Source organism: Homo sapiens, chromosome 17, assembly GCF_000001405.40.
Source record: "Homo sapiens chromosome 17, GRCh38.p14 Primary Assembly".
NCBI lineage: Eukaryota > Metazoa > Chordata > Mammalia > Primates > Hominidae > Homo > Homo sapiens.
In genome coordinates this window covers 50263480-50288361 of record NC_000017.11, presented here as the reverse complement: position 1 = coordinate 50288361, position 24882 = coordinate 50263480, and the positions used below count along the sequence as shown (strand labels likewise).

At 54.5% G+C, this 24882-nt stretch overlaps 1 protein-coding gene and 2 long non-coding RNA genes across 4 annotated transcripts, besides 5 other annotated features; 1 reads left to right on the top strand and 2 right to left on the bottom strand.

Annotated features, from left to right (window-relative positions):
* The first annotated feature begins 506 nt into the window (after positions 1–506).
* TMEM92-AS1 (TMEM92 antisense RNA 1) lies at positions 507–6783 on the top strand. Its single transcript, NR_125805.1, has 4 exons — positions 507–622; positions 4155–4404; positions 5811–5894; positions 6486–6783. It is a non-coding gene; the product is annotated as a TMEM92 antisense RNA 1 (long non-coding RNA).
* Positions 4671–4720: a silencer, noted in NCBI's record as "silent region_8693". NCBI's record gives its function as "represses an Ori minimal core promoter by ATAC-STARR-seq in GM12878 lymphoblastoid cells {active_cell/tissue: GM12878}" and the evidence as "EXISTENCE:reporter gene assay evidence [ECO:0000049][PMID:35858748]".
* Positions 6877–16956, bottom strand: TMEM92 (transmembrane protein 92). Of its 2 annotated transcripts, NM_001168215.2 has the most exons (6): positions 16873–16956; positions 13792–13886; positions 10622–10647; positions 9732–9806; positions 9366–9561; positions 6877–9167 (listed from the first exon to the last, which is right to left on the bottom strand). In NM_001168215.2, exons 2-6 carry the CDS (start codon positions 13858–13860, stop codon positions 9054–9056), a joined length of 480 nt encoding a protein of 159 aa, NP_001161687.1. In that variant the 5' UTR covers positions 13861–13886; positions 16873–16956; the 3' UTR covers positions 6877–9053. The 2 variants fall into 2 exon arrangements, with proteins under 2 accessions (NP_001161687.1, NP_694961.2); NM_153229.3 differs by lacking the exon at positions 16873–16956 and having other exon boundaries at positions 13792–13896.
* Positions 10297–10844: an enhancer, noted in NCBI's record as "H3K27ac-H3K4me1 hESC enhancer chr17:48354879-48355426 (GRCh37/hg19 assembly coordinates)". NCBI's record gives its function as "activates a minimal SCP1, AML or CMV promoter by ChIP-STARR-seq in primed H9 embryonic stem cells {active_cell/tissue: H9 hESC(primed)}" and the evidence as "EXISTENCE:reporter gene assay evidence [ECO:0000049][PMID:30033119]".
* Positions 10845–11392: an enhancer, noted in NCBI's record as "H3K4me1 hESC enhancer chr17:48354331-48354878 (GRCh37/hg19 assembly coordinates)". NCBI's record gives its function as "activates a minimal SCP1, AML or CMV promoter by ChIP-STARR-seq in naive H9 embryonic stem cells {active_cell/tissue: H9 hESC(naive)}" and the evidence as "EXISTENCE:reporter gene assay evidence [ECO:0000049][PMID:30033119]".
* Positions 13520–13814: a silencer, noted in NCBI's record as "tiled region #4171; K562 Repressive DNase matched - State 4:PromP". NCBI's record gives its function as "represses a minimal TATA promoter and a strong SV40 promoter by Sharpr-MPRA in K562 cells {active_cell/tissue: K562}" and the evidence as "EXISTENCE:reporter gene assay evidence [ECO:0000049][PMID:27701403]".
* Positions 14952–15291: a silencer, noted in NCBI's record as "silent region_8692". NCBI's record gives its function as "represses an Ori minimal core promoter by ATAC-STARR-seq in GM12878 lymphoblastoid cells {active_cell/tissue: GM12878}" and the evidence as "EXISTENCE:reporter gene assay evidence [ECO:0000049][PMID:35858748]".
* Positions 16959–19293, bottom strand: LOC124904028 (uncharacterized). Its single transcript, XR_007065846.1, has 3 exons — positions 19134–19293; positions 17126–17203; positions 16959–16996 (listed from the first exon to the last, which is right to left on the bottom strand). It is a non-coding gene; the product is annotated as an uncharacterized LOC124904028 (long non-coding RNA).

The window sequence follows — 24882 nt, the reverse complement described above, 5'->3', positions numbered from 1 at the left end:
AGCCTCCAAAGTGATCGCAGCTCACTGCAGTCTCGACCTCCCAGGCTCAAGTGATCCTTCTGCCTCAGCCTCCCAAGTAGCTGGGGCTACAGGTGTGTGCCACCATGCCTAGCTAATTTTTCTATTTTTAGTACAGATGGGGTTTCACCATGTTGGCCAGGCCGGTCTCAAAATCCTGGCCTTAGGTAATCTGCCTGCCTCAACCTCCCAAAGCGCTGGGATTACAGGCATGAGCCACTGCACCCAGCCCATAAACAGTGCTTTTTATTGGGTACTAGAAGCATATGAATAGCAGAGCATAAACCTAAATTTGATCTAATGACCTTTGACAGTGTTAAAAGCTCTGGAACCTGGAGACAGGAAACCAGTTTTTCATACTTTTTATTTTGAAATTATTATAGATTCACAGGAAGTTGCAAAGATAGTACAAAGTGGTCCCAATTTTCTTTGCCAAATTTCTCTCAATTTTTTTTTCCAGACAGGTCCTTGCTCTGTTGCCCAGGCTGCTGTGCAGTGGCATGACCATAGTTCACTGCAACCTCAAACTCCTGAGCTTCAGCGATCCTCCCACCTCAGCCTCCCAAGTAGTCCCATAGTCCCAGCCCCTGAGCTGGGACTACAGGTATGTGCCACCATGCCTGGCTAATTTTTTATAGAGACGGGGTTTCACTATATTGCGCAGACTTGTCTTGAACTCCTGGGCTCAAGCAACCCTCCTGCTTCAGCCTCCGAAAGCACTGGGATTACAGGCAGGAGGCACCTGACCTCCAAGGGTTACAGGGTTACATCTCTTTTTTTTTTTTTTTTTTTTGAGATGGAGTTTCATTCTTGTCCCCGAGGCTAGAATGCAGTGGTGTGATCTCAGCTCACTGCAAACTCCGCCTCCTGGGTTTCAGCAATTCTCTTGCTTCACCCTCTGGAGTAGCTGGCACAGGTGCGTGCCACCACTCCTGGCTAATTTTTGTATGTTTAGTAGAGACGGGGTCTCACTATGTTGGCCAGGCTGGTCTCAAACTCCTGACCTCAGGTGATCTGCCCACCTCAGCCTCCGAAAGTGCTGGGATTACAGGGGTAAGCCACCGTGCCAGGCCCTCCAAGGGTTACATCTTATGTAAAGTATCAAAGCCAGGAAACTGACGTGGGTATAATGTGTGTGCCTAATTCTGTGTTGTTTTATCACATGCAAATTTGTGTAACTACTACCTCTTCAAGTAAAATGCAGAACTGCTCCCCCACCAAACAGATCTCTCTGGTGAGACCTCTGTGTAGCCATACCCACTCTCTCCCCATCAACAACTAATGTGTCTCCATCGCTATCATTTTGAGGAGGCTGAGTTTTAAATCAACTTCCGACCCTCTCAGCAGTGTGACCTTGGATAAGTCATTTGTCCTTTTCTGGATGTTGATCTTCTCAGCTAAAGTAAGACAAGGTTGGCTCACATCAACATTCCTCTTGAATTTCCACAGGCTGATATGATCTGAAAATGCTACGGAGATTATGAGAAAGAAAATGGGGTTTTATGGTGAAATAAACTAGGGAAATGATGCTTTCCATAAATACATAATGCTTCTTTACCGTGAATTCTCAGCCCTTTAATACACTAAGGTGAACTGTGAATCTTCTAGTGTGGGAGGTATACGCAGCATTTTCCAAATTTATCTGAACACAGAATGCTCCCCCCACCCTTAAAAAAATCCTCTAGAAAAAAAATCACTTGGAACTAGTTTTTCAGGGAATATGCTTAGAGATATGCTTTTTCAGGTGACCTCTGAGGTCCTCCTGCCTCAGGGATCCCACCCAGATTAAATGCCTAGAAATATATCCTCCCTCGTGGGTTAAATTATGTATCTTCAGCCAAAACCTACGAGTGTGACCTTATTTGAAATAAGGGTCTTTTCAAGTGTAATTAAGATAAGGATCTTGAGATGAGATCATTCTAGTTTAGGGTGAAGTCCAAATCCAACGAAGAGTGTTCTTATCAGAGACAGAAAAGGGGGACACGCATAGACACAGAAGAAAATGATAGGCTAGGCATGATGGCTTGCACCTGTAATCCCAGTGCTTCGGGAGGCTGAGGCAGGAGGATTGCTCAAGCCCAGGAGTTCCAGGCTGCAGTGAGCTATAATCACCCCACTGTACTCCAGCCTGGGTGACAGAGCGAGACCCTGTCTCTGAAAAAAGAAAGAAGGAAGGAAGGAAAGAAAAAGAAACAAAGAGAAAGAAAGACAAAGAAAGAAAAAAAGAAAGAAAGGAAGAAAAAAGAAAAGAGAGAGAGAAAGGGAGAGAGGAAGAAAGGGAAGGGAGGGAGGGGAAGGAAGGAAGGAAGTAAGGAATGAAGGAAGGAAGGGAGGGAGGGAGGGAATGCTCTGTGCTGTAGAGGCAGAGTCTGGAGGGCAGCCATAAGCTAAGGGCCACAGCCGCCAGAAGATAGGCAAGGGCAACCTTAGCCATGCTTGGATTTCAGACTTCTGGCCTCCAGAACTGAGAGATAATAAATTTCTGCTCTTTTAAGCCACCCACTCTGTGGTTCTTTGCTACAGCAGCCTGAGGAAACACATAACCCTCTTTTCAGACTCTTGGGGTATTTCATTTTTATTTATTTTTTGTAGAGATGGGGTTTCACTTTGTTGCCCAGGCTAGTCTCGAACTTCTGGGCTCAAGCTACCCTCCCGCCTAGACCTCCCAAAGTGCTGGGATTACAGGCCTGAGCCACCGTGCCCCGACAAGGGGTTTTTATTTTTTAAAAGAGCAGTGGCTGTTCACAAGTGCAGTCATGGTGTACTGCAACCTTGAACTCCTGGGCTCACTTGATCCTCCCGCTTCATCCTGCGGAGCAGCTGGGACTACAGGTACATGCCACCGAACCCTGCAGAATCTTAGGGGGTTTTGAAGGAAGGAAGGGTCTCGTTTAAGTTTCTCCAGCCCCCAAGCTCCTTCCCTCCTCAGGCCTTTGCATATGCTGACCCCTCTGGGAACCTGAATGGTGAAAATACAGCAGCCCTGTGAAGACTGGGAGGAGGGCATTGGGAGGGAGGGAAGTTCCAAGCAGAAAAGCCACCAAAGGCCCTGGGCCAGGCCAAGATTTGGGATAGTCAAGTCCCAGAGAGAAGGCAACTGTGGCTGCCACGCAGTGAGAAGGGAGGAGAAGTAGGAGAAGACGCTTGAGGGCAAGGGAGGGGCCACACACTGCCTAAGTCCTGCCAGCTACGGTCAGGGGTTTGAAGTTTATTCCAATGGGCAACTTTAAAAAAAATTTTTTTTTGAATAGGGTCTCGCTCTGTCACCCAGGCTGGAGTACAGTGGTGCGATCACAGCTCACTGCAGCTTCAACCTCTTGATCTCTTAAGCAATCGTCCCACCTCAGTCTCCCCCTGCCCCACCTCCGCACTACCCCGCCCTGCCATCGGATAGCTGGGACCACAGACTCACACCACCATGAGTGAAGCCAAAAAATACAAACATACTTTTTGTATTTTTTTGTAGAGACAGAGGTCTCTCTATGTTGCCCAGGCTGGTCTCGAACTCCTGGGCTCAATCGATCTTCCCTCCCACCTTGGCCTCCCAAAGTGCTGGTATTACAGGAGTGAGACATGGCGCCCAGCCCATTGGAGGATTTTTTTTTTGAGACGGAGTCTCGCTGTGTCACCCAGGCTGGAGTGCAGTGGCACGATCTCAGCTCACTGCAACCTCTGCCTCATTGGAGGATTTTAAGCACGGGAATAACAAGTCTTGTTTGCGCTTTAGAAAGATCTCCCTAAGTGCAGTGTGTGGGATAAACTGCAGGGGGTGAGATGGAGACAAGCCTGGAGGCAGAAATCAGGTAGTTCATTAGGATAGGCTGGGCTAGGGATGAAGGTGGCTTGGTCGAGGGCTGTAACCGTGAAATGGGAATAAGTGGGCCTAGGTCTATTTTGCAGGCAGCGCTGTCAGGATGATGGAGTGAGGGAAAAAGAAATCACAATAATTTCTTAGTGTTTTAGCCTACACAGCTGGGCGAATGGGGAGCGACATCTATTTATGATAGGAGACCTTGGGAAGGACTGGATTTGAGGGGGTGGTGGAGGGAAATTCGAGCCTGCTTTTGGCTGGGAGATGCTCATTAGGCATCCAAGAGGAGGCGTGAGGTAGTTAAATATGTGAATCTGAGTCCCAGGGAGAAGTCTCGGCGGGAGATTAAGTCTTGAGATTCATCAGACCAGAGATGGTCTGTGAAGCCGCAGATCAGGATGACAGCCACTATGGGAATGAACAAAGATGAAGACCGGAGACCCCAAGACAGACCTCCGGGGCAGCCATCACTGAGAGAGGGCGGAGGAGGAGGGGGAAGTGAAGGCTCCTGAGGAGAAGGCCATGTGGAGGAGGGAAACCAGGGGAAGGTGGAGTCGGAGACATTGGAAGAACAGGTAAGGAGGCCATGGCCAAGCGTGTCAAATGCCACTGAGAGATAGGCAGGGGAAGGGACCTTTGGCCTTGGTGACATGTAGGTCACTGATGATCTGGACTAGAGTCATCTCCTGTAACGGTGGGGACAAACGGCTGCTTGGAGCAGCACAGAATGAAAGTGGGGAGGGGGGAGGTGGAACAGCAGATGCCAGAAGGGCTGGGGGCCTCCAGGGAGAGTTTCTAAAGGAGGAAGGGTGGGCATGTTATAAGCGGATGATAATGATCCGGGAAGGGGAGAAAGGCTCTGCAGAGACAACTGCAGGGCCAGGCCCTAAGGAGCAGGAGGGCTGGGGCCCAGTGCAGGCTGGAGGAGCACGATGCAGCTTCCACTGTGCTCTGGCGGGGGAAGGGGGCACGCGTGGATACTGGGTGGCAAGTGTGGGGCATGGAGGTGAGGTGTGCTGGTGTGGGTGCATCCTTTCTTTCTCTGAAGCGTGTGGTGGCATTGCCAGCTGAAATTGAGGTTGGGGGTGTGGGAGATTTGAAATGAGTCATTTCAAGAGCGGGGAAGTGAAGCTGTGAAAGCACATTGGAGGAACCGAGGGCCTGCGCGAAACGTGTGGTTTTGATTTGGAAATGAGTCTAGTCACACAGGGGTGCTGGTTCTTGAGCCATAGTTGGATCCAACTGGAGTTTGGAGTTTGGAGTTTCTCTGGGTGAGCACAGTGAATGGGGAAAAGGGGTAAAGGATGCAGGGTAGTGACTGTAAGGATGGTTTAAGGACATGGTGATGGCGCTGCCAACAGGCAAAGACTGCTGGTTCAGAGGGCTGGGTGGGCTCAGAGAATTGCTGGCATGGTGTGGTGGTGACATAGGACCTACCTGAGCTGGAAGTACAGGAGGTGATGTTCAGAGTGGGAGGCTTGAGGTGATCAGAGCTGACAAGATAAGGTATGTCCACTTGAGACTGTGGCCAAGGTAGAGTGGAGGAAAGCCTGTTGGTGTTAAGGAGCTTCTCTGAATATTCTTACTTGGCCCTTCCCAACTTTGTTTTTTGTTTGTTTGTTTATTTGTTTTGAGACGGAGTCTCGCTCTGTCACCCAGGCTGGAGTACAGTGGCGTGATCTCAGCTCACTGCAACCTCCGCCACCCAGGTTCAAGCGATTCTCGTGCCTTACCCTCCCAAGTAGCTGGGATTACAGGTGCCCACCACCACGCCCAGCTAATTTTTGTGCTTTTAGTAGACAGGATTTCACCATGTTGGCCAGGCTGGTCTCGAATTCCTGACCTCAAGTGATTTACCCACCTCAGCCTCTCAAAGTGCTGGGATTACAGGCATGAGCTACCGTGTTGGGCCCCTTCCCAACTTTGGATTCAGAGCTACGTCCTACCAGAGCCAGAAGGGGCCACGCTCTTCACTGTACAGATGGGCACACCAACGCCTGGAGATGTTGGATGCAGAAGGCGAAATGTCAGAAGCTGGAGTCCTGCATCTCAGCTGGAAGGTGAGGTAAGATTCCTGCTGGTGTTTATCCCTCTCCTCACTTCCCTCAGCAGCAGCCCCTTTCTCCTCCCCTCCTGCATCCCTGGAGCAAGTGCCTTAAGGCCTTCCTGCTTCAACATGCCCCCCACCCTACAGCCTTTCCTGCATTTCCCTGTCCTCTGGGGAGTCCCTGCAGATAGAAATTCAACTGCACAGCCACGAGGAACATCTCCTTGATGTTAACTAGACTGTGTTTCTTTACAAATATCTGGTGGCAGATCTCTTCATTCATTCATTCATTCATTCATTCATGCACCCATTTAATCTTCATTCATTCATTCCATCTTTCATTATTCACTCATTGGGTTTGAGCAACTAAACCAGCCACGAGGGATGAAATTCTCCGTCACTGTGAAACTGCTCATTCACCCAACTAGCCAGCTCACTGTTTCTGTCATTCATTATACACCTCATAAGTCCTGCATAGGTCTGAGATGTGGGCTTCATGTATGTCTGGCAGGCATCCAGGCTTTCCCATCATGTGTCTGTCCCCTGGGTCACATCCATGTCAGGTGGGTACCACAGTCTAAAGTCCTTGTATTCTCTTCCACATACCAGGGCTGATAATTTATCAGTTGCCATTGATCAAAGTTCACAAGGCAAATCTTCATAAACTTCTAAAGCTGCCTACAGTTTCCCGTAAACAAATCTCTAAATTTACAAAAGCAATGCTTGCTGATTGTAAAAAACACACAGTGCCAAAGCATACAAAGGAAGAAGACCCGCTTGCAATTTGCTACCTACATCCCACTCTTGGGGCCAACAACTATTGGAAGTGTGGTGAGTGATTGACTTACATCCTTCTAGATCTTATCTACATATTTGCAAAGAAAAAATATACATATATAAAATAAAATATGTGTGGGTTATATCCTTACAAACTGAGATCATAGGCAGTTCCGCAACTTGCCTTTTCTCTGTAACAATAAGTGATGGATGCTTTGCAGGGTTGGTGCTACAGATCCTATTTATTCTTTTAAAAGGCTGCATAGGGAGCTCTGGTGGCACAATGAATTAGTGCATGATACTTATTGAGCTCTTTTGTATGAGCACTTCTGAAGGCTCATTTCTAGAAGTGGAATTGCCAGGTCACGTGCATTTTACATTTTAATGGATACCCAGTGCCAGGCATAGTGTTTCCTACATAGCAGGAGCTTCGTAAAGATCTGTGGCGTGATTACATGGTGCCAGATGGCCCTCTAGAAAGGTGACACCATTCCCACTCCCACCAAGGATGACCAGAAGAGCCACAGAGGTTTCCATTTCTGTCACCAGGTCACAGCAACACTAGGTTTCAGGATGGCCACTTTCCCTAGGGCCACTCTGCTACTCCCTAGGAGGAGTTAAAGGCCCTGTGATGAAAGGAAGGCAACGTCTGGGCCGAGGGTAACTTCTCCTCCAGGTCTCCCAAGCCCATTTCTCAACATCCTCCTGCTATCACGGTGAGGGCAACATCAGCTGCAGGACTTCTCTAATTGGAACTAGCCACATCTACACAAAGAACCCACATGTTTTCTGCCACCCCTGACCAATCCCTGAAAGTAAAGGGAAACTTCCACTTACGCTTGGGCTCATTCTCCTATGGCCAACCCTGGCACTATATTGTCAGTAACTGCTGCACTCCTTCCAGGGCCCTATCTCACTGGGAACCCACACCCGGACAGTCCCTGTTCCTGGCATCTTTGGGGCTGCCTGTGCCATCAAGCTGCCCCCAGCTCTGCCACCTGCCTGCGTCCTGATGCCCCCAGGATGAGCATTATTGGGAGAGCACTAAAAGAGGCACCCCTGTTGGCATACCAGGGCCAGTTCTACCTCCAATCCTCCTGAGAGCTTTGGCCAGCATTGACATGGGGCTCTCTGCCTGGAGAAGGAGGCTGGCATTGAGTGGGCTGTGGGGGCGCAGTGCAGAGGCAAAAATCAGGGTGGAGGCACTCAGCCCTGTCTGAGTCCCAAGGCATTGGCATTGTCCCGCCCCATTCTGCATGACTATGCCAGGCCCCCATGGGTCGAACCCCAGTGAAGACTCTTCTCCCCTAGGGGGTTAACTCCCACGAGCGAGCGGGGCTGGTAGAGAAGGGTGGAACCTGCCACCTCCTCACCTTCCTGTAGGAGATTCCAGGGTGGGGCCGTTCAAGGTCTCCTAAAGCCCCACTCCACGGATGCCCAGCCCCACCCACTGCTCTCCTGGGCTTTTCCCCACCCCCATTGTCTCCCAGCAGGTGGTTTCCTGCTATCAACAGCAGAATGGGCTGTCCCAGGGCTGCTTCCTGGATCCAACCCCCTCACAGCCAACTTACCAACTTCTCATGGTAAGACAGCCAGAGAGCTGGGCTCCATGTGTCCCAGGAAAGCCTTGGGCGGAAGGGATTGGGAAACCCACACAAGGGACACGCGTACCCCATTTCCAGGCTGTTTGGCACACAGAGACATCAAAAAACAGACAGCCAATACATCTAGAACAAGCCTCTCTCCGAGGGCGGCCCATGGATGGACTGTCCTCCCAGACCTCCCAGGTGGCTCATCAGTGGTGGGATTGCGGCGCAGCGACCCCATCACCGCACCCCTCAGCAGTGCCTGGGCTCACCTCTCCACCCACCTCCCCACACAGCCAGAGGCAGGCCCTCAGCCGCAATCAGTAACATTCAGTGAGGACATGTGTTTATCATGTGTTGTGGGTGGGTGCAGTGAGTTCTCTATTCAGGTAGGAGTGGAAGCTGGCTCAGGGCTCATCCAGTCCAATGTCCCACAGGTATAGAAGTGCCCTGATAAAATCTCAGAGCTGGCTGTCCAGTCAAGATTTGCATACCTCCAGAAATGGGGCTCTTACTACCCCTCACAGTAGCCCATTCTACTGTTGGGCACCTCCAATGGTCAGCATTTTCTTTCCGGCAGCCTCTTTCTTGGGCTGGGGGGTGGGCGGAAACTGTCACTCCAGCCTAACCCTCAGGACAAGAGAGGCAGCTGGGGTGGAAACAGAAGCAGAAAAAGTAATAAGTTAAATCCAAGAATGAACAGAGACACGGCAGGATGGGCAGGGACATTCCTGGGGTGCCAGCAGTCTCTAGCTTGATCCAGGAGGCACTGGGGAGGAGGTTGCTGATGGCAAGATTCCAGGCAGGAGGTGACTCAGAAGGCCGGGTTGTCAATGCCCCTCTGATCCCCGGTATATTCTTCAGGCCTGAAGCTGTAGGGAGGGGGTGGCTCTGTGGGAGTTGGGCCCAGGCTGGGCTTCAGAATCACCTGCAGGGAAAAGAGAGAATTCAGTCTTCTGGGCCCTGGCCCTGGCCACCACTCCCCCATCCCAGCTGAGGCATGGTTACCAGGGAGAGGGGTGACCCAATGCTGGGTGCAGAGTGCCCTCCAGGATCGAAGGGCCCTCCACTGTCTCTGCTGCACAGCCGGCCAGAGGCAAGGTGGGGATGGGGATGAGACACCCACCTCACTGTAGGGGGGTGGGGGCGCAGAAAGGGATACTCTGACCCTCTCTGGGGGGATGATGGAGGGCAGTTCCAGGGGCCCCCGGCAATCCACTGGGCTGTCTGGCTCCGGCTCTCTGCAGTTGCGACAGAAGCACTTAGCCAGGCCACAGATGCAAAAGACGGACAGGATGACCAGGAAGATGATGACGAAGATCCTGGGGTGGGGACCACCAAGAGTACCCTGAGTCCCCAGGCCACCCTGGGGACTCCCTACATCTCCCCGCTCCCGCCGCCCACACTGCCCCCTCGGCAGGTGCCTGGCCTTGTCCACACAGGACCAGGCCCCTCCAAGGACTGCACCCAAAGGAGCTGGCCCTGGGCTCACCTCACGGGGCCAGGGAAGAGCTCGTTCTCCTGGCAGCAGCTGTCACCACAGCATTTGAATCCTTTGGGGCAGGCACTGGTCAGAGGGCACAGAAAAGGGCAAGGAGAAGTTGCTGGCACCAGAATGGAGAGGCAGAAGGATCCCAGCCTCCCCAAAATACACCCAAGATGCTCATGGCACAAGCCACCCCTTAGTGGGGTGGGGGGTATGGCCCCCGCTCTGAGCTCAGTAGGAGGACTCTGGGGAAGGGCGTGTGCACTTGTGCCCAGTACGGCTCCCTGTTGGGCCCCACGCCCCTCATCTGTAACACGGGTAGAAGAAGTATCCTGTTGACCTCAGCAGGCAGGTGTGGGGAAGGGGCATTGCAGCGGCCATGACACTCCTCATCCAACTCTAAGGAGGTGCGGGGAAAGAGGCCACGTGGCATGTCCAGGAAGAGCCAGTTCTCGCTGGCGCCCATGGAGTATGAGGGGTCAGAGAACGGTGCTTTCAGAACACCCAGGGCTGACCTAATGGAAACACTTTTCTGCCCAGTGACCCTTACCCAAATTCCACCTTGTGCTCAGGCTTCTGGGATTTCTCTCTTAGGGTTAGCCCCCTGCCTCCGACCCAGGGGACCCTCAGAGGGGAGACAGCCTGGCACTGCAGTAGGAAGGACCGGGATCCAGCTACAGACCTGCCTGCAAGTGTGGAAGTCCCCGAGTTTGTTGGTGGAGGTAGAGGGTGGGGTCTCCCTCTTTGGCTGGGAAAGTGGGGGGACAGTTTCTGGCTGGATTGGGACTGAGGACGGATGGAGTTTCTGGCCTCCCACACCCCCCAAGGCATGCAGGGCATGATTTAGGTTGCTCCTCCCCGCTCCCCAGATTGGAAGTTATGGCCTCTAGACTTACAGGATGAGACCACATTTGGCTGCAATCTGTGGAAGAAAAGAGAGGTCGGGGGTCAGGGTCATAAACTGGGGATAGTGGGGGTAGGGTCTCCACTCAGATGCTGCCCAGGTACCTCACAGGCAGCAGGTCCCCAGTAGACTCAGCCTCTTCCTGCAAGCCACCCCCCACCTCACTCCACCGTGTTCCCAGGTCAGTGCTTGGAGCCCAACTGACCCCTGGCTGGCCCCAGCTCCCCTTCCTCTCTCAGCACATTCCATCACCCCCGGGTTTGTAAGCTCATCCCTTCTGACCACCCTTCCAACCTGGCTTCCACCGTGACACCCATGGCTCAGGGCACTAGCGACTTTCCTTATCCCACCTTCAGTCACTGCAGACACTGTGGGCAGGAGGACTCTTCCTATAATGCAAATCTCATCACCAAAGAATCTTGCTGGAAGCCCCCTTCGGTGGCTCCCTGGGGTAGAGACCTCCCGAGTGAGCAGCTGCACTCCCTCCCCTTTCGCTTCCCCTAGTTCTTTCTCTTCCTCTCACACACACCCGCTGGGAGTTCCCTGAACATACCTGGCTGTTTTACACCTGTCCAAGCCTCCATTCATCCTTCAGATCCCTGCCTAAGGGATTCCATGCTCTGCAAAGCTGCCAGGACCCCGCCTCCCAAATCAGCTTCCCCCTCTTCTGTACCAGGTCTGCAGGGCACCCAGGGCATCTTACAGAATTTCCCTCCATTGATAGCAATTGTGTGTCAAAGCCACACTGACTTGGAACACTCTTCTAGGTGGCTGCAAGGCTGGCTCCAGCTCCTCCCTCTCCAGTTACCTTATTCAAAATTACAACCACCCTTTTCCCTTAGTGTGCTTAACTTTTCTCCACACCTCTTGTCAACATCTAACATACTATATATTTACTTTATCTTGTTAATTGTCCTTCAGTTGTGTAAAAGGCAAACTCCGCGAGGGCAGGGATTTTTGCTGCATCATTGTTGAAAACCCAGTAGTCAAAATATTTGCAGAATGAATGAACGTGCATTCATCAATTACCTAGTTTCATTTCATCCTGGCTGCTCCCAGACTGTGGGGGAGGGATGTAGGTGCCAGAACATAGGAAATGGGTGGTGGGGAAGGGCATCTCTCACCCCACCCTAGCCTCCTGGGACAAACAACCAAGGCTAAAAAATAGGAAGCCAGCTTTGGCAAAACCACCGTTATCTTTATCTTTATACCTTTATAAAATATTTCAATTGCAAATCACAACAGTAAAGATAAGAATACCAGTGATAGCCAATAAGAGTTGGGGTAATTCCCCTTTTCCACGCTCAGTCCCAGGCTGAGTACCATCTCACAGGCTTTGTCCCCTTGTGGGGACAGGAACAGGAAGGAACCCCTGCAGGTTGGCCCAGAAAGGGTGAGTCTGTGAATCCAAATCACACAGCACACAGGAATGACTATAGAATTGGAGACAGGCTGGGTGCGGTGCCTCATCCCTGTAATCCTAAATACCTTGGGAGGCTGAGGTGGGTGGATTGCTTGAGGCCGGGAGTTTAAGACCAACCTGGCCAACATAGCGAGACCCTGTCTCTATTCTTTTTTCTTTTTTCTTTTTTTTTCTTTTTGGAGATGGAGTCTAGCTCTGTTGCCCAGGCTGGAGTGCAGTGGTGCGATCTCGGCTCACTGCAACCTCCGCCTCCCAGGTTCAAGTGATACTCCTGCCTCAGCCTCCCAAGTAGCTGGGATTACAGGCACGTGCCACCATGCCTGGCTAATTTTTGTATTGTTAGTAGAGATGGGGTTGTTGGTCAGGCTGGTCTGAAACTCCTGACCTCACGATCTGCCTGCCTCGGCCTCTCAAAGTGCTGGGATTACAGGCGTGAGCCACTGCGCCTGGCCTCTATTCTTTAAATTAAAAATATATATATACAGAGAGGGAACTTGGAGACAAATCGAGGGGTCCATCCAGGCACTCAACAGCACCCCTTCCCCCTCAGACCCCACTCTGGCCCTTGTCCTTTTCCTGGACCCCAGCTAATAAGTAATGGATAATTAACAGGTTTAGTAAATTAATCTCAAGTTCCGGTTTGGGAGGGGGAGGAGCTCTTCTCCCAGATTGTCTCCCCACATTTTAACCAGGGGGTAGTCTTGTCTGGGGTGGTTCAGAGGCTGAGTTTTATGGAGCGTCAGGGTGGTCTTGGGCTGGGAGTAAGTAAATCTCAGCTTACTTAACTCCAGAATTGAAGGTATTAACAGCACCTCGCCCCTGGGGTTGGTGGGAGGGGTAAACCAGAGGATGCCCAGCCCAGCATTGACACAAACTGACCGCCCAGTGATTTAGAAGGAACACCTTGCTCACTAACCCGGGTCCACGGAAGGGTTTTGGCAGAGCCTCTCTGAAAGCTCAGCCCAGATGTGTGAAGGTGCCCTGTTCTAAAATCCTAACTATGGAAGACCCTGACTTCCCTCCGGTTCTTAAATGGAAATAAGACACAAATGCATGTTCTAGACCCGTCTCTGTTCCCAGGATAAACACCCATCCCAGGACCGGACAGCTTTCCCCCATCACCTGTAGAGTTTACTTGGGAGGAACAGAAGGGCGGAGGGAACACTCGAACCCTACACCTCCCTCTCAAAATCACAGATTTCAGAGGTCACCCCAGCCTTGGTCAGGCAGCCAGGTCAAATCCCACCACAGGCTGGGATTACTTACCCCTAGAAGGGGACAAAAGAGCCTTCTCTCCCCTAGGGAACAAGCAGAGACACAGTCCCAAAGAGGGTGGGGACATCCCAGGGTCCCCCAGCACTGGAGGAACTGAGCTGGGGCTAAGTGCTGGCCCAGGTGTCCAAAGCTCAGGCGGGAAGGAGCTGGAAGGATAAGCTGAGGCTAATAAGGGGTCCAAAGTCCCTATTCACAGAGACGTGCTAGGTGTCAGATAAGGTGGTGGGTGGTGGCCACTTCCCACCACAGGATCCCCCTCAGAGGTGGGAGAACCCAGCCTCTCCCAGAGCCTCCTCCGCTGCCCCCACCTCCACCTCCACAGCAAAGAGAGAAAGGAAGTAGCTAACTGTGTGTGGTCAGGAGGAAATCCTGATTCTGGAAGGTGGCGACCAGGCTCCAGAAGCAGGCTCCTGACCTACAAGGGTAGGGCCCAAAAGTTCAACAACCTTACCTCCCAGTCTCACCTTTTGGGGGCCAGCCAGCAGGCTGAACAGCAAGGTGGGCGCGAGGCCGGGGACCCAAGCTTGGGACATCCTGGCTTGGGGGCCACTGAGCTTTCCTGTGTAGAGAAGGCGGGGCTGCGACCTCTCCCACTTCTCTCCACCTATGGGGCCCCGCCTCGGGATGGGGGCGGAGCTGCACCGGGAGAGGCGGACTCGGGGCAGGGAGGGGCTGGGAGGAGGAAGGGAGGAAGGGAGGCGCAGAGGTCTGGGTTGGGTTTTGGGATTTGGGAGGTAGAAGAGATTAACGGATTTTTAAAAAAGCGGTCCCGGGCGCGGTGGCTCACGCCTGTAATACCAGCACTTTGGGAGGATCACTTCAGGTCAGGAGTTCGAGACCAGCTTGGCCTACATGGTGAGACCCCCCGTCTCCACTAGAAATACAAAATTTAGCCGGGCGTGGTGGCGGGTGCCTGTAATCCCAACTACTCAGGAGCCTGAGGCAGGAGAATCGCTTGAACCCGGGAAGCAGAGGTTGCAGTGAGCCGAGATCGTGCCAGTGCACTCCAGCCTGGGCGACGGAGTGAGACTCCATCTCTAAATAAATAAATAAATAAATAAATAACCTAAATTTAAAAAGAGGTGGGATCAACTCCACACCGCTGAGCTGGGCCTTCCTAACTCCCAACTCCTCCACTCCTAAGTGCCCCAGACTCCAGGGAGGGGTGCCGGGACCGGCGGGAGTGGGAAGGGGACGTGGAAGCCCCTTCTTATCTGGACCTCTGGGTCTGGTGAGAAGTCAAATGGGGGCAGAGGTTGAGGGAGGGGAAGGCGAAGGTTCTAGGGTAGATTTTGAGGGGTTATGGTTGGGGGATATCACCCCATTGTGTTTTGACCAAAAAGGGAGGGACAGAGCAGCCTGGCTGATTTCAGAGTGCCCTGAGATTTCCAGGTCGAGGAAGGAAGACCAGGAGCACAACGTGGGTACCTTCGTGTCCCCTCCCCTCTTGAAATCCTACAGGAGGTGTTGGTGCATTTTCTCCCATTGACAAAACGGGAACTCAAGGCCCCAGGGTTTAGACTGCCCCGGGGTCCGCAGCTGGGGCTGGTCCTCTGCCAGGCCCGCCGGGGCGCGGGCGAGCAGGCCCATCCAGATTCCTGGAAAGACCCCGCGGAGGCCGCCCCAGTGCGGAGGGGCCTGATTCTGAGCCCCCTGCGGCCGCCGCCTCCAGCACTCCAGGCGCGGAGCTTCCGGGAGCGGCCGGCAGGTGGCAGCGTCGCCCAGCGCGGGTGCCCCCGGGAGCCGGGAGGGGCGCGGCCGGGGCTTGTGGGCTGGGGGCGCTGGGCGAGGGCGAGGCAGGAGCAGTGCAGCCAGGACCGCGGGAGGGGGAGAGGGGGTGATGGAGCGTGGGGCGCTGCTCCCTGGCCCGGCCAAGGGGGACCCTGAGAGGCTCAACGTCATGTCCTTGGGCGCCTCCTGCTGTGTCGCCAATCTGTCTTGACCCCTGAAAAACACCCCCGACGTCGTGGGCGTTTCTTCTCTTTCCTTGCTCTCTGCCTCTCACCCTTCTCCCTCATCTCTCCCAGTCATGTTCTCTGTCTTATATTTAACCCCTCTGTGTCTCTCCCCGTTTCTCCCAGCCTCTGTTTTTCTGTTTCGGTTTCTTCCCATCTGTCCGCACCCAGTTTCTCTCGAGTTCCCAGCCTTTCCCTCTGTTCTCCCGTCTGTTTCTCCTCTCTCTGTTCACCTCTGTCTGCCTCGGCGGAGGCGTCTGTTTTTCTCGGTTTCTCTGGTCCCTTCTCCTTGTCCCTGGTTTGGTCCTGCACCCCCAGTCTCTCGGTCTGTTTCTTATGCTGTCTCCCTGCTCTCTCTCTCCCTTTCCCTGTCTCTATTTCCCATTACCTCCTAGCCCTTTTTGCCCCTTAAGAAGATAATCTTCTAGTCTCCTGATCCGAGGGGTATTGGGATCTGGCCCCTCTGTATTTGAAGTGACTGTGAGCTTGGAGAAGGGAAGGGGCCGCCGTCTCCCCTCCTCCCCTGCAGGTGGACCTTGGCAGGGGGACCTCGTCCTGAGAGTGCTGGAGCCTCCACCTCTTGAGTCGTTGCCAACTTGGGCTGCCAGGGTTCTTCTTGTCCCCACCCAGGCCCCACTGCAACAGCAAGGCCTGGGGTCTCTACCCCACACTCCCTGCTATCCTGCCCAGGCTGGGAGCCCTACAGAGGTGTGGCCCTTACGGGAGAGGAAAATGGGAAAATGGTTGAGCTTAGAGGAGGAAGATACCCTGCGGGGTGAAATGAGGGTGCTGAGAAGGGCATGTGGGAACTCAAGGGACAGATGTGGGGGGTCAGCAGGAGTGGGGGTGAGGGAACTAGGCGGGCACCAGTGCCCTGAAGAGGGGCAGGAGGAGGGGGAGGAGGCTGGCATAGCTGCTCTCTGGGTCTCTGGCATCAACCTGACCCAGATCTAGGGTTGCCGGACAAAAGACAGGAGGCCCAGGTAAATCCAAATTTCAGATAAACGATGAATAATTTCATTTTAGTATAATTATGTCCCATGCAATATATATATATTTTTTGAGAACCAAGACTGGAATGGAGTGGTGTGAGCTCACTGCAACCTCCACCTCCCAGATTCAAGCAATTCTCATGCTTCAGCCTCCCAAGTAGCTGGGATTACAGGCATGTGCCACTATGTCCAGCTAATTTTTTGTATTTTTAGTAGAGACAGGGTTTTACCTTGTTGGCCAGGCTGGTCTCCAACTCCTGGCCTCAAGTGATATGCCCACCTTGGCCTCCCAAAGTGTTGGGATTACAGGCGTGAGCTACTACACCTGGGCCCATGCAATATTTGAGACATACTTATGCTAAAATTTACTTTTCTATCTGAAATTCACATTTAATGGGATGTTCTGTGTTTTTCTTTGTTAAAACTGGCAACCAGGCCAGGCACAGTGGCTCACGCTTATAACCCCAGCACTTGGAGAGGCCGAGGTAGGAAGATCACTTGAGCCCAGGAGTTTGAGACCAGCCTGGGCAACATAGCAAGACCCTGTCTCTGCAAACAAAGAAAACAAAAGCAATTAAGCCGGTGTGGTGGCATGTACCTGTAGTCCCAGTTACTCTGGAGGTTGAGGTAGGAGGATCACTTGAGCCTAGGAGTTCAAGGCTGCAGTGAGCTGAGATCACACCACTACACTCCAGCCTGGGTGACAGAGCACCACCCTCGCTCTAAAAAGAAAAACAAAACAAAACAAAATCTGGCAATGCTATCCACATCGCTACAATGTCCTAGGAACAAACTCCACCCCCACCCCACATCTTCCAATGAAGAAGTGAGGTCCTTAGCACTTGACTCACCAGGCAGAGTCTGAAGGGCTCTTGAGCCCCTCGGCTGGGCCCCCAGTTCCATGACACCAAACTGCCCTACGTTCCTTCCTGCAGATGGGGACAAGATGAGGAGCCTGGAAGTGGGTGGTCCCAGGCCAGGCCAAGAACACCAGGGCCTGTTAGCATTCATCATGGCCCCAGGGCCCTCGGATTTTTGGTGGGTGAGGTCAGAAGGGGGTGGGAGCACCATGGACCCCCCTAGACTGAGCAGAGAAGGGCTGTTCTAGAGGAAGGAGGGTCCTGGACAAGGCCAGCATCTTCTGTTTGGCACGTCACCTAGCACCAGGAGGGCAGCGTGTGCAGGTGCTCAGGCATACACGAGCACAGAAACCCAGAGGCCTCATGTAGTCAGCGGCCCCCTAGATTCAACACCAAATTCCATCTGGGGTTTCCCAAGAGCAGCCACTTCGAAATGTCTTCATAAACGCTCGCTGGGCCCCCAGTGCATTCACTAAAGAATGAGCTGATTGTGCATCCTGCCGGGGCCCAGCTGGAAGGAGGGGCCTCCGAGGCCAGCCGGCCCACTTACGCCCTTCTCAGAGGAGGCAACCAGGGCCTGGAGAGCGGGAAGGCCAGGTCGCACAGGACATGAGGGGCTGAGTCAGGATCAGAACCATGCAGCGCTCAAGACGCCACACCCAGCACAGGTGGCACTCACCTCGGGCCTGGGGAGCCCTGCTCCACTGCTCTGGATGGAGGATCACTCAGGGTGGGTGGCCTCGCCTAGCCTGGCTCAGCCCAGCCCAGGGGGCCAGGCTTGGGTGAAGGGGAAGAGCCAGGGTGAATTCTGTTTTACTTGGCAGTCCCCCCCACCCCCATACTTTGGTGGACACTAATATCTGTAATGGCTGATGGCACTAGGCTGGGATCTCTTTTCAAAGCCAGCAGAATGCTCTGCTCTAGCCCGGCTCTGCCTGTAGGGGCAGTATTGTGTCGTGTTAGTCAGTGTGCCACTGAATATGTTGTGCTGTGTGACCTTAGACGAGAAATGGAACTTCTCTGGGCCTCTCTCAACAGGAAGGAGAGGGAGGAGTTGGATAACAGTACCTCCCTCATCATATAGGCCATGATGAGGATGAAACAGGCCGCTCAGAGTCTGGCATACAGTAATGGCAAATAAATGCTAGCTGTCATTCCTGGCAGAGACAAGGGGCCCATACTTCCTTCTCTGCATTTCACATGGAGGCAGAGTGGGGTGCCAAGGAGTGCAGGGTCTCGCTGCTTTTGGACTGCTCACCTCCCTGGATGGGCTGCAGCATCCAACCCCAGTTTCCCCAGGAAGCTTTGCTCACTAAACCCCTCTGCTGTCCACTGGGCCCCACTTAAGGCCAGTCAGGCCTGAGAAGGTGGGGCTGGTGACAGATCCCAGAGGATGTCCGTCCAGGTGCCGACCACTCCTGAACGTGGTCTGGGACTGGAGATGTGATTCCCTCCACTCCCAGTTTGTTCCCCCTTTCTACTCCCGCACAGCCCACTGAGCGCTGCCTGGGTCTACTTCACAGAGGAGGCCCGCCTCTCCACATGGGCTGAGAGCTCATGGAGACTGGAGGCTGTGCCTGTCACAGGTGTCCTCTCCCTTTATCCCCACTGCCATCGGCACCCCGTGCAGCCTGGCTCCTCAGGACTCTCGTAGCCATATTCAACAAGGCCTCTAGCTTGGTCACCTCATTGCCAAGGAGGGACAGGCCATGTTGGGCATGTCGCTCTCTTGTTCCCTAATCGGAGGCTCCCTGCTGCCACCTGAATAAAGTCCCATCTCAGAGAGACCTTCAGGGTCCCCCATAACCAGTCCCCACCTGACCCCCACCCCCCACCATGTTCTCCAGCCCCTCCTCTTACTCTTTCTGCTTCTCTCCTTGCCTCTGTCCAGGCAGTTTTTTCCACCTAGTTTCTTCCCCAAATCCCTCCCAGAAACCGAACACATTCTTCCCCATCCTTTAAAGCTCAGCCCAAATGCCACCTCCTCCAGAAAGCCTACCTGGACTTGGATCTTCCTTCAACAAGTGATTGTCTGCTCCCTGCTCGCCCCTACCCAGGCCTCTTCCCTGGGCCTCTCTGACAGCCCTTAGCCATTTTCCCTTGAAGACGTGTGGACATGTCCTAATGCTCCCACCCTGCTGCAGGGGCTGGCCAGCTCTGATTCAGCATGCATTTCCCCCTGGTGCTTTGTTCCAAGTAAACACTGGCTCTGTTGTCGTTGAATCCAAGCTGGTTAGGGGCCTTCCTGGGTCAGGGGCCAGATTTCTCTAAGGGGGTAGGGAATTCATTTCCAAAGTCCTTGGTGAAGGACTCGTGGTTGGGGTGGGAGGAGTTCAGACTGACTGGGCTCCCCACCACACTGGCTGTGTGGTTTGGGGAATCCACGTCTTCTGCTTCCTGCACCCCCTCCAAAGGGTATGCTCAAATTTGTGACTCCCCCTCAGCAAGTGAGGAAGATGGCTCCGTAGGGATTGAGCGACTCCTAAGGGGGTGTAGCAAGGAATGCTTGGCTTACGGTCCGCCTTCCTGGAGGAGGCAGAGTCCAAGAATAGGACTTCTTGGCCATGGGATGGGGACCTCAGTCCCCTTTCCAACTTTTTTTGGAAATTGAAGCCCACCAGCCCCTTTCTCATTCTTGGGGTGATGGGCATGGGGGTGGAGGAGATCACTTCTAGAGTCAGCTCCAAGTTTGAACCATGAATCTGTGGGCCGGGAGGGTGGAGGGAGGGCAAACCACCTGAGAATTAACAGTGCAGGGCACTTATTATCCCAATGAGCAGGTTGGAGGGACTCACTGATGCTCACTTTCCTGGAGGCTTAGCAGAGACAAAAACGCCATTTGGGAGCCATTATCCTTCTAAAGTGTAGGTTTCTGGGGCACAGGCCAGGGTGGAAAGGAAAACACCTCAAAGAGCCTGGATGGGTGTCAGGTGGGGAGGGTTAGGGGAAGGTTGAGCTGATGAGCTTTGGTTTCTGGAGTGGCAGATGGAGCAGAGCCATGAAGGCTTGGGCAGGAGAGACTGAGCTAAGACTAGCGTGAGGGTCTTGAGAGCCCCCATGCCTGGCCTCCTTCCTCTGGGGCCCCCTCCTTCAGTCTACTGTCTGAGACCGGATCCTGTAGCCAGACGGAAGAAAGGAATTTGGTATCCTCGATTTCTAGCTCTGTTCTTGTTGGCTCCTGAAAAGAGGGTTCTGCTGCACCCTGCTTGTGGATTCCTTTGTTTCTGACCCAAATGTTACTGGGGTTGTAGTTAGACCTAAAAGAACTTTTCAGATCCAAAGGAACTGCGGATTCAGGACAACCATGGGAAGGGGAGCCCTTCCATGGTCTGGGGCTTAGACTAGAGTGGGGCGCAGGCCCAGCCTGAAGCTGTAAAGGCAGAGAATGAGTGTGAGCAGTGGGTGAGGGATTCAGGCTGGCAGAGATCACATTCTTCCTCAAATCATAGTGCCTCTAAGCAGCCACATCATCTGGTTCCCAGCTGAGGACAGACTTGGCTTTGGTTGTGTGGGAGCTGCATGTGCACATGTATGTACATTACGTGCACATGTGTGTATGCAGAGCATCCCAGCCTCCTGTGTTGATTGGCAGCTCCCACTCACACCCCTTACCCCACCGCCAGTGCCTGGCTTCCTTATCTCCGGGCCAACCTTTAGGGGGCTGGCTTCAGGATCCCCGCACCCCAGTGGCCCTGTTAGCACCTCCTCTCTCCCTTGTTAGCGCCTCACAACCCCTCTTCCTCCTCCGGCCCCAGCTGTCCCCCCAGAGAGAGGCCCTGTGGCTTGCAGCCCAGTTCTCGCCTTCTGATTCCACTTCAGCTTCTACTTTTTGAAGCTTGGTTTTTCTCCCAACCCCTAACCCCCCTGCCCTCTCCATTTCCCTCTTGTCCATGTGGAGGGGTCTTCTGCAGAACATCAGAGCCTGGGGGAGGAAGCTGGATCCCCCCACAACTGAGCACGACTTCTCTTCCAGGCTGGGGCTGAAAGGGTGGCGCACAGACAAAGTGAGCCCCTCCCCATCAGCCTTCCCTGCCTGGAGGGTGGGAGGGGGGCAGTTTGGGAGGGACCCCTGTACTAGGGGCTAAAGCTAAATCTGGTGCCAACTCTGCCCCCTCATGGGGGCAAAACCTCATTCTGTGGCAGCACTGAACGAGTGGGGTGAGGCGGCAGGGCCCCTGGGTAGAAATGTCCTTTTCTGCCTGTCCACTCCAGGCAGCTGTGCCCGACCTGAGCCTGGGTTGCTGAGTGGGACAGGGTGGTCCTGTGCCCGGAGTCAGGTTGTCAGGCCTCCAGGACTGTAGGTTTCCTCTACGGAAGGGCCCCTTCCCTGCGGGCTTTGATGTGTCTGCGAGGTTCGTGGAGGATGTTTGGCTTCAGGGCCCAGTGCCAGGATAAACTCCCTCTGCCTGCTGGGCCAAACCACTACCTCCTCCCTGCCTGGCTCTCCTGCCTCCCCCAGCCTTGGGCCTGGCCTCCTCCAAGGCTAGCACTGCCCTGCCTGCTTACTGCGGTGGGCACCAAGACGCCACTGTTACTGCTACTGGGGAGAGACCTGTGGGCAATCCTGGTCCCCAAGGCTGGCCCAGCAGTGCCTGCTGCTAGGTAACCGAGGTCCTGCTCCAGGTGGGGGATGCTGGACCCCAACTGCCAGCAGGGATGGGGATGAGATGGAGCAGGGGGGAGGGGGTGTCTACGTGGAGCTGCTTGCACAGGCTTCAGCTCTTCCAGATGTGCAGAGGTTCCAGATGTGGGGATGACTCAGCCCGGAATGAGGAGGGGTGGGCGGTGCATGGGGGAATGGTGAGCAGGGGGATCTGAGGCCCTGAGCAGCTGCCAGCTGCTGCCTCCTGTCCTCCGGAATTTGCAGCCCCTCAAAACCCCAGAGGTGGGCGAAGTGGTATTTAATAGCTGCTGGGAGCTGCCCATATGTGTGGCCCTCAAGTGTCCCACCATGTGCTGGGAAAGAGACCTCAGGGCCAGGGGCTCAGCTAGGAGAGAGAGAAAGGGAGAAAGTGGAAGGCGGGCAGAGGAAGTGGGAGGAGGACCGAGAGTGGCAGGGAGGACGGAGAGTGGGAGGGGCAGGGAGAAGCCCAGGACTAAAATGGTGGCCCCTACTTGGGCCCACTTTCAAGTGTGGCACTGGGAGGAGAGTGTATTGGTTCAGAGGACTGTGTGTGTGTGTGCGCACGTGTGCGTGTGTGCACGCATGCAAGCAAATGTGACCTTGCTGCTGGAGTGGAGGTTATGCGGGTGGAGAAGGAGCTGTGTTGGGTGAGCATTGTGTGTCTGGTGTGTGTATGCTGCGTTTGTGAGCTGGGTGCTGGATGATGTGTATGTTGGGTGTGGCAGAGTGCAGGAGCATGTTCTATACCATCTGTGTGATAGAGAAGGACTGTGGGTACAGCGACTGTGTAGTGATGGGCTGTGATGGGGAAAGGGTGTTTGTTTATGCCAAGTTACATGTGCCTTTGGATGCAGAAGGTGGGTCCCACAAACCTGGGGAGTTGAGTGGCATCTGGGCCTATCAGACCAGGACCCCAAAGACCTGGGGCTTCCTTCAGCCTCCCCTGGGGGGCCTTGGGGACCAGTGTCCAGCATCCTGGAGCTGTGGTTTCTCCTGCTGGGCCCTGGGCCATATGGTCTCCCTTGCAGGGCAGCTGGGAGACCCCTGAGCTTCAGAGGCTGGCACCCTGCAAACTGCAGTGCAGGGTGTGCGGCGGGCAAGGTGCCTCCCTCCCCATCCTGGAGAGCTGCTGTCCTGGCCTCCTCTCTGGCCTGCAGGGGAGTCTGCTGGCAGGGCCACCAGCTGCTCCCTGGAGAGGCCCACCTGTGCCAGCCACCCTTGCCAGGGTAAACAGGGCACTAAGTGTCTGGGCTGGTGCCTGCCTCAGGCTGGGCATTGCCTCTCCACACAGGGCTCAGCTCCCAGTTGTGGCTTGGGTTGCCTCCTCCAGCTAAATGACAGGCCTGATGCCCCAGGCCCCATAAACAGTGTTTTCTTGGGAGGTGGGGATCATGGGGGCTGCTGAGCAGACAGATAATCAAGTTGGATTGGGAAGACAGCATGTTGACTCCTCTAAGGCGAGGAAGGCTTTTGTGACCCTTTCCCAGTGCTGCGGGGTCCTTGCCCCTTTTGGGTGACACTGGTTGAATCCTCTGTTATTCTCCCAACACACACACACATACTCACACTCACACACCACCAGCCCTCCGCTCCAGGTTGTCGGCATCAATTTACTTGTGAGTGCAAACAAGCGGTGGCTGGGATCTGGTCAGCTGGTCCTGTGCTGTGTGTCCCCTCTGTTCACAATCCAAGGCTGAAGCCTGCAGAGGTTGGGGCCCGTCTCTAAATCGCTGCATGACGGTGTGCACTTGGATGTGTACCTGGCCCTCCAGACACTGTGATGCTGCCACCCAGCCCTGCCCCATTCCCTGGACATCTCTGTGGCCGGCTCTTTCTCGGTCCACCTCCTTGCCGCCCCCTCCACCCTCCCCTCCCTGTGACTGACTCAGAGTGAGAGGAGCCTCTGGTTCCTCAGCCCTGCCTCTGACTCCCCTCCAGGCTCCTACCCCCAGCGCAACCTCACAGGGAGGAGGAGCCCTAGCTCCACCCCTTTGAAGCAAAGCCCCCTCAAGGGGACGGGAGGAGCGGGCAGGTAGAGGCTGGACCTGGGGGAGCCAGGTCTGCTGGCCAAGGAGCAGGCTTCCAGAGAGGGCACTGAGCAGGGGCCAGGCTGCCTGAAATAGAGGGGCGTGCAAGGATGGCAGGGAGCAGGAGGACGCTCTGCAGACACCTGAGCCCGCCAGCAGCCGGGGAGCAGGCATCTGGGCCCAGCCACCCACTGCTAGTCTTGAGGAGGGAGGCAGTGGAGGAGCGGCGGGTGTCCTCCTGGGCAGCCAGCAGAGGCCCTGCCCCCACTTCACTGCGGTGGGGTGGAGAACAGAGAGAGCGGTGCGGTGCGGAGCCCACAGGGCTACCACAGCGGGCCCTGTGGGTAGGAAGGGGGTGCTGCCATCCTGGGGCTCTGGAAGCACCCCTTCCCCACTCTCCCTCCCTCTGTCATTGCCCACCTCTGTTTCTGTCTCTGTCCTTCACTCTGCCGCTTCTTTGTGTGTGCCTGTCTTTCTCTATCTTCCACTCTCTTCTCCCTTTTCTCCTCTCCCTCCCCCTCTCTCTTTTCCCTAAGGGGAGCAGCTCCAGTATCTGGGGCCAGCTTCCCAGAATGGAAGGTGGCTTTGTCCAGGGAGAGGGAGGCCCCTGACCCAAGCCTGTGGTCTCAAAACAGCCACATCCGGCTCCCCACTTCTTTGCCCAGACCCTCCTGCAGGACCTCTCTGTGCCTGGGAGTCCTTGAAGCCAGAGCCCATTCTGCTTTGCCAGGTGGTATGGGAGCCCCAGTGCCCCCATATTCAGAACTGCTTGTCTCAGCAACGGGGATGAAGGCAATCTCTCTCTCTCTTCTCTCTCTCTCTCTCTGTCTCTCTCATCCCCAAGAAGGCAATGCTCTGGGTGGCTGAGAGGCTGGAGTCTGAGCCCCATCGCTGGGTGACCAGATACCCCGTGTGCCCAGGACAGTTCAGACCTATGTCATTGCCTGGGTGTAACTGCTACGAGCACTCCAAAGTATCCTAGTTTGGACTAAAAATTACATCCCCCATGGCCAGTCAGACCCTGGCAAGGCTCACAGCCTCTCCCACTCCCTTCACCCTCCCAAGACAGCTGTATAGCCTGCTTGGGCCTCACTCAA

Coding starts and splice junctions, on each gene's coding strand:
- TMEM92 (NM_001168215.2), bottom strand. CDS start 13,860: ATGTCCCAAGCTTGGGTCCCCGGCCTCGCGCCCACCTTGCTGTTCAGC. Junction 9,562..9,731: donor CTCTTCCCTGGCCCCGTGAG/GTGAGCCCAGGG, acceptor TCCCCACCCCAG/GATCTTCGTCATCATCTTCC. Junction 9,168..9,365: donor CCCCACCCCCCTACAGTGAG/GTGGGTGTCTCA, acceptor TTTTCCCTGCAG/GTGATTCTGAAGCCCAGCCT.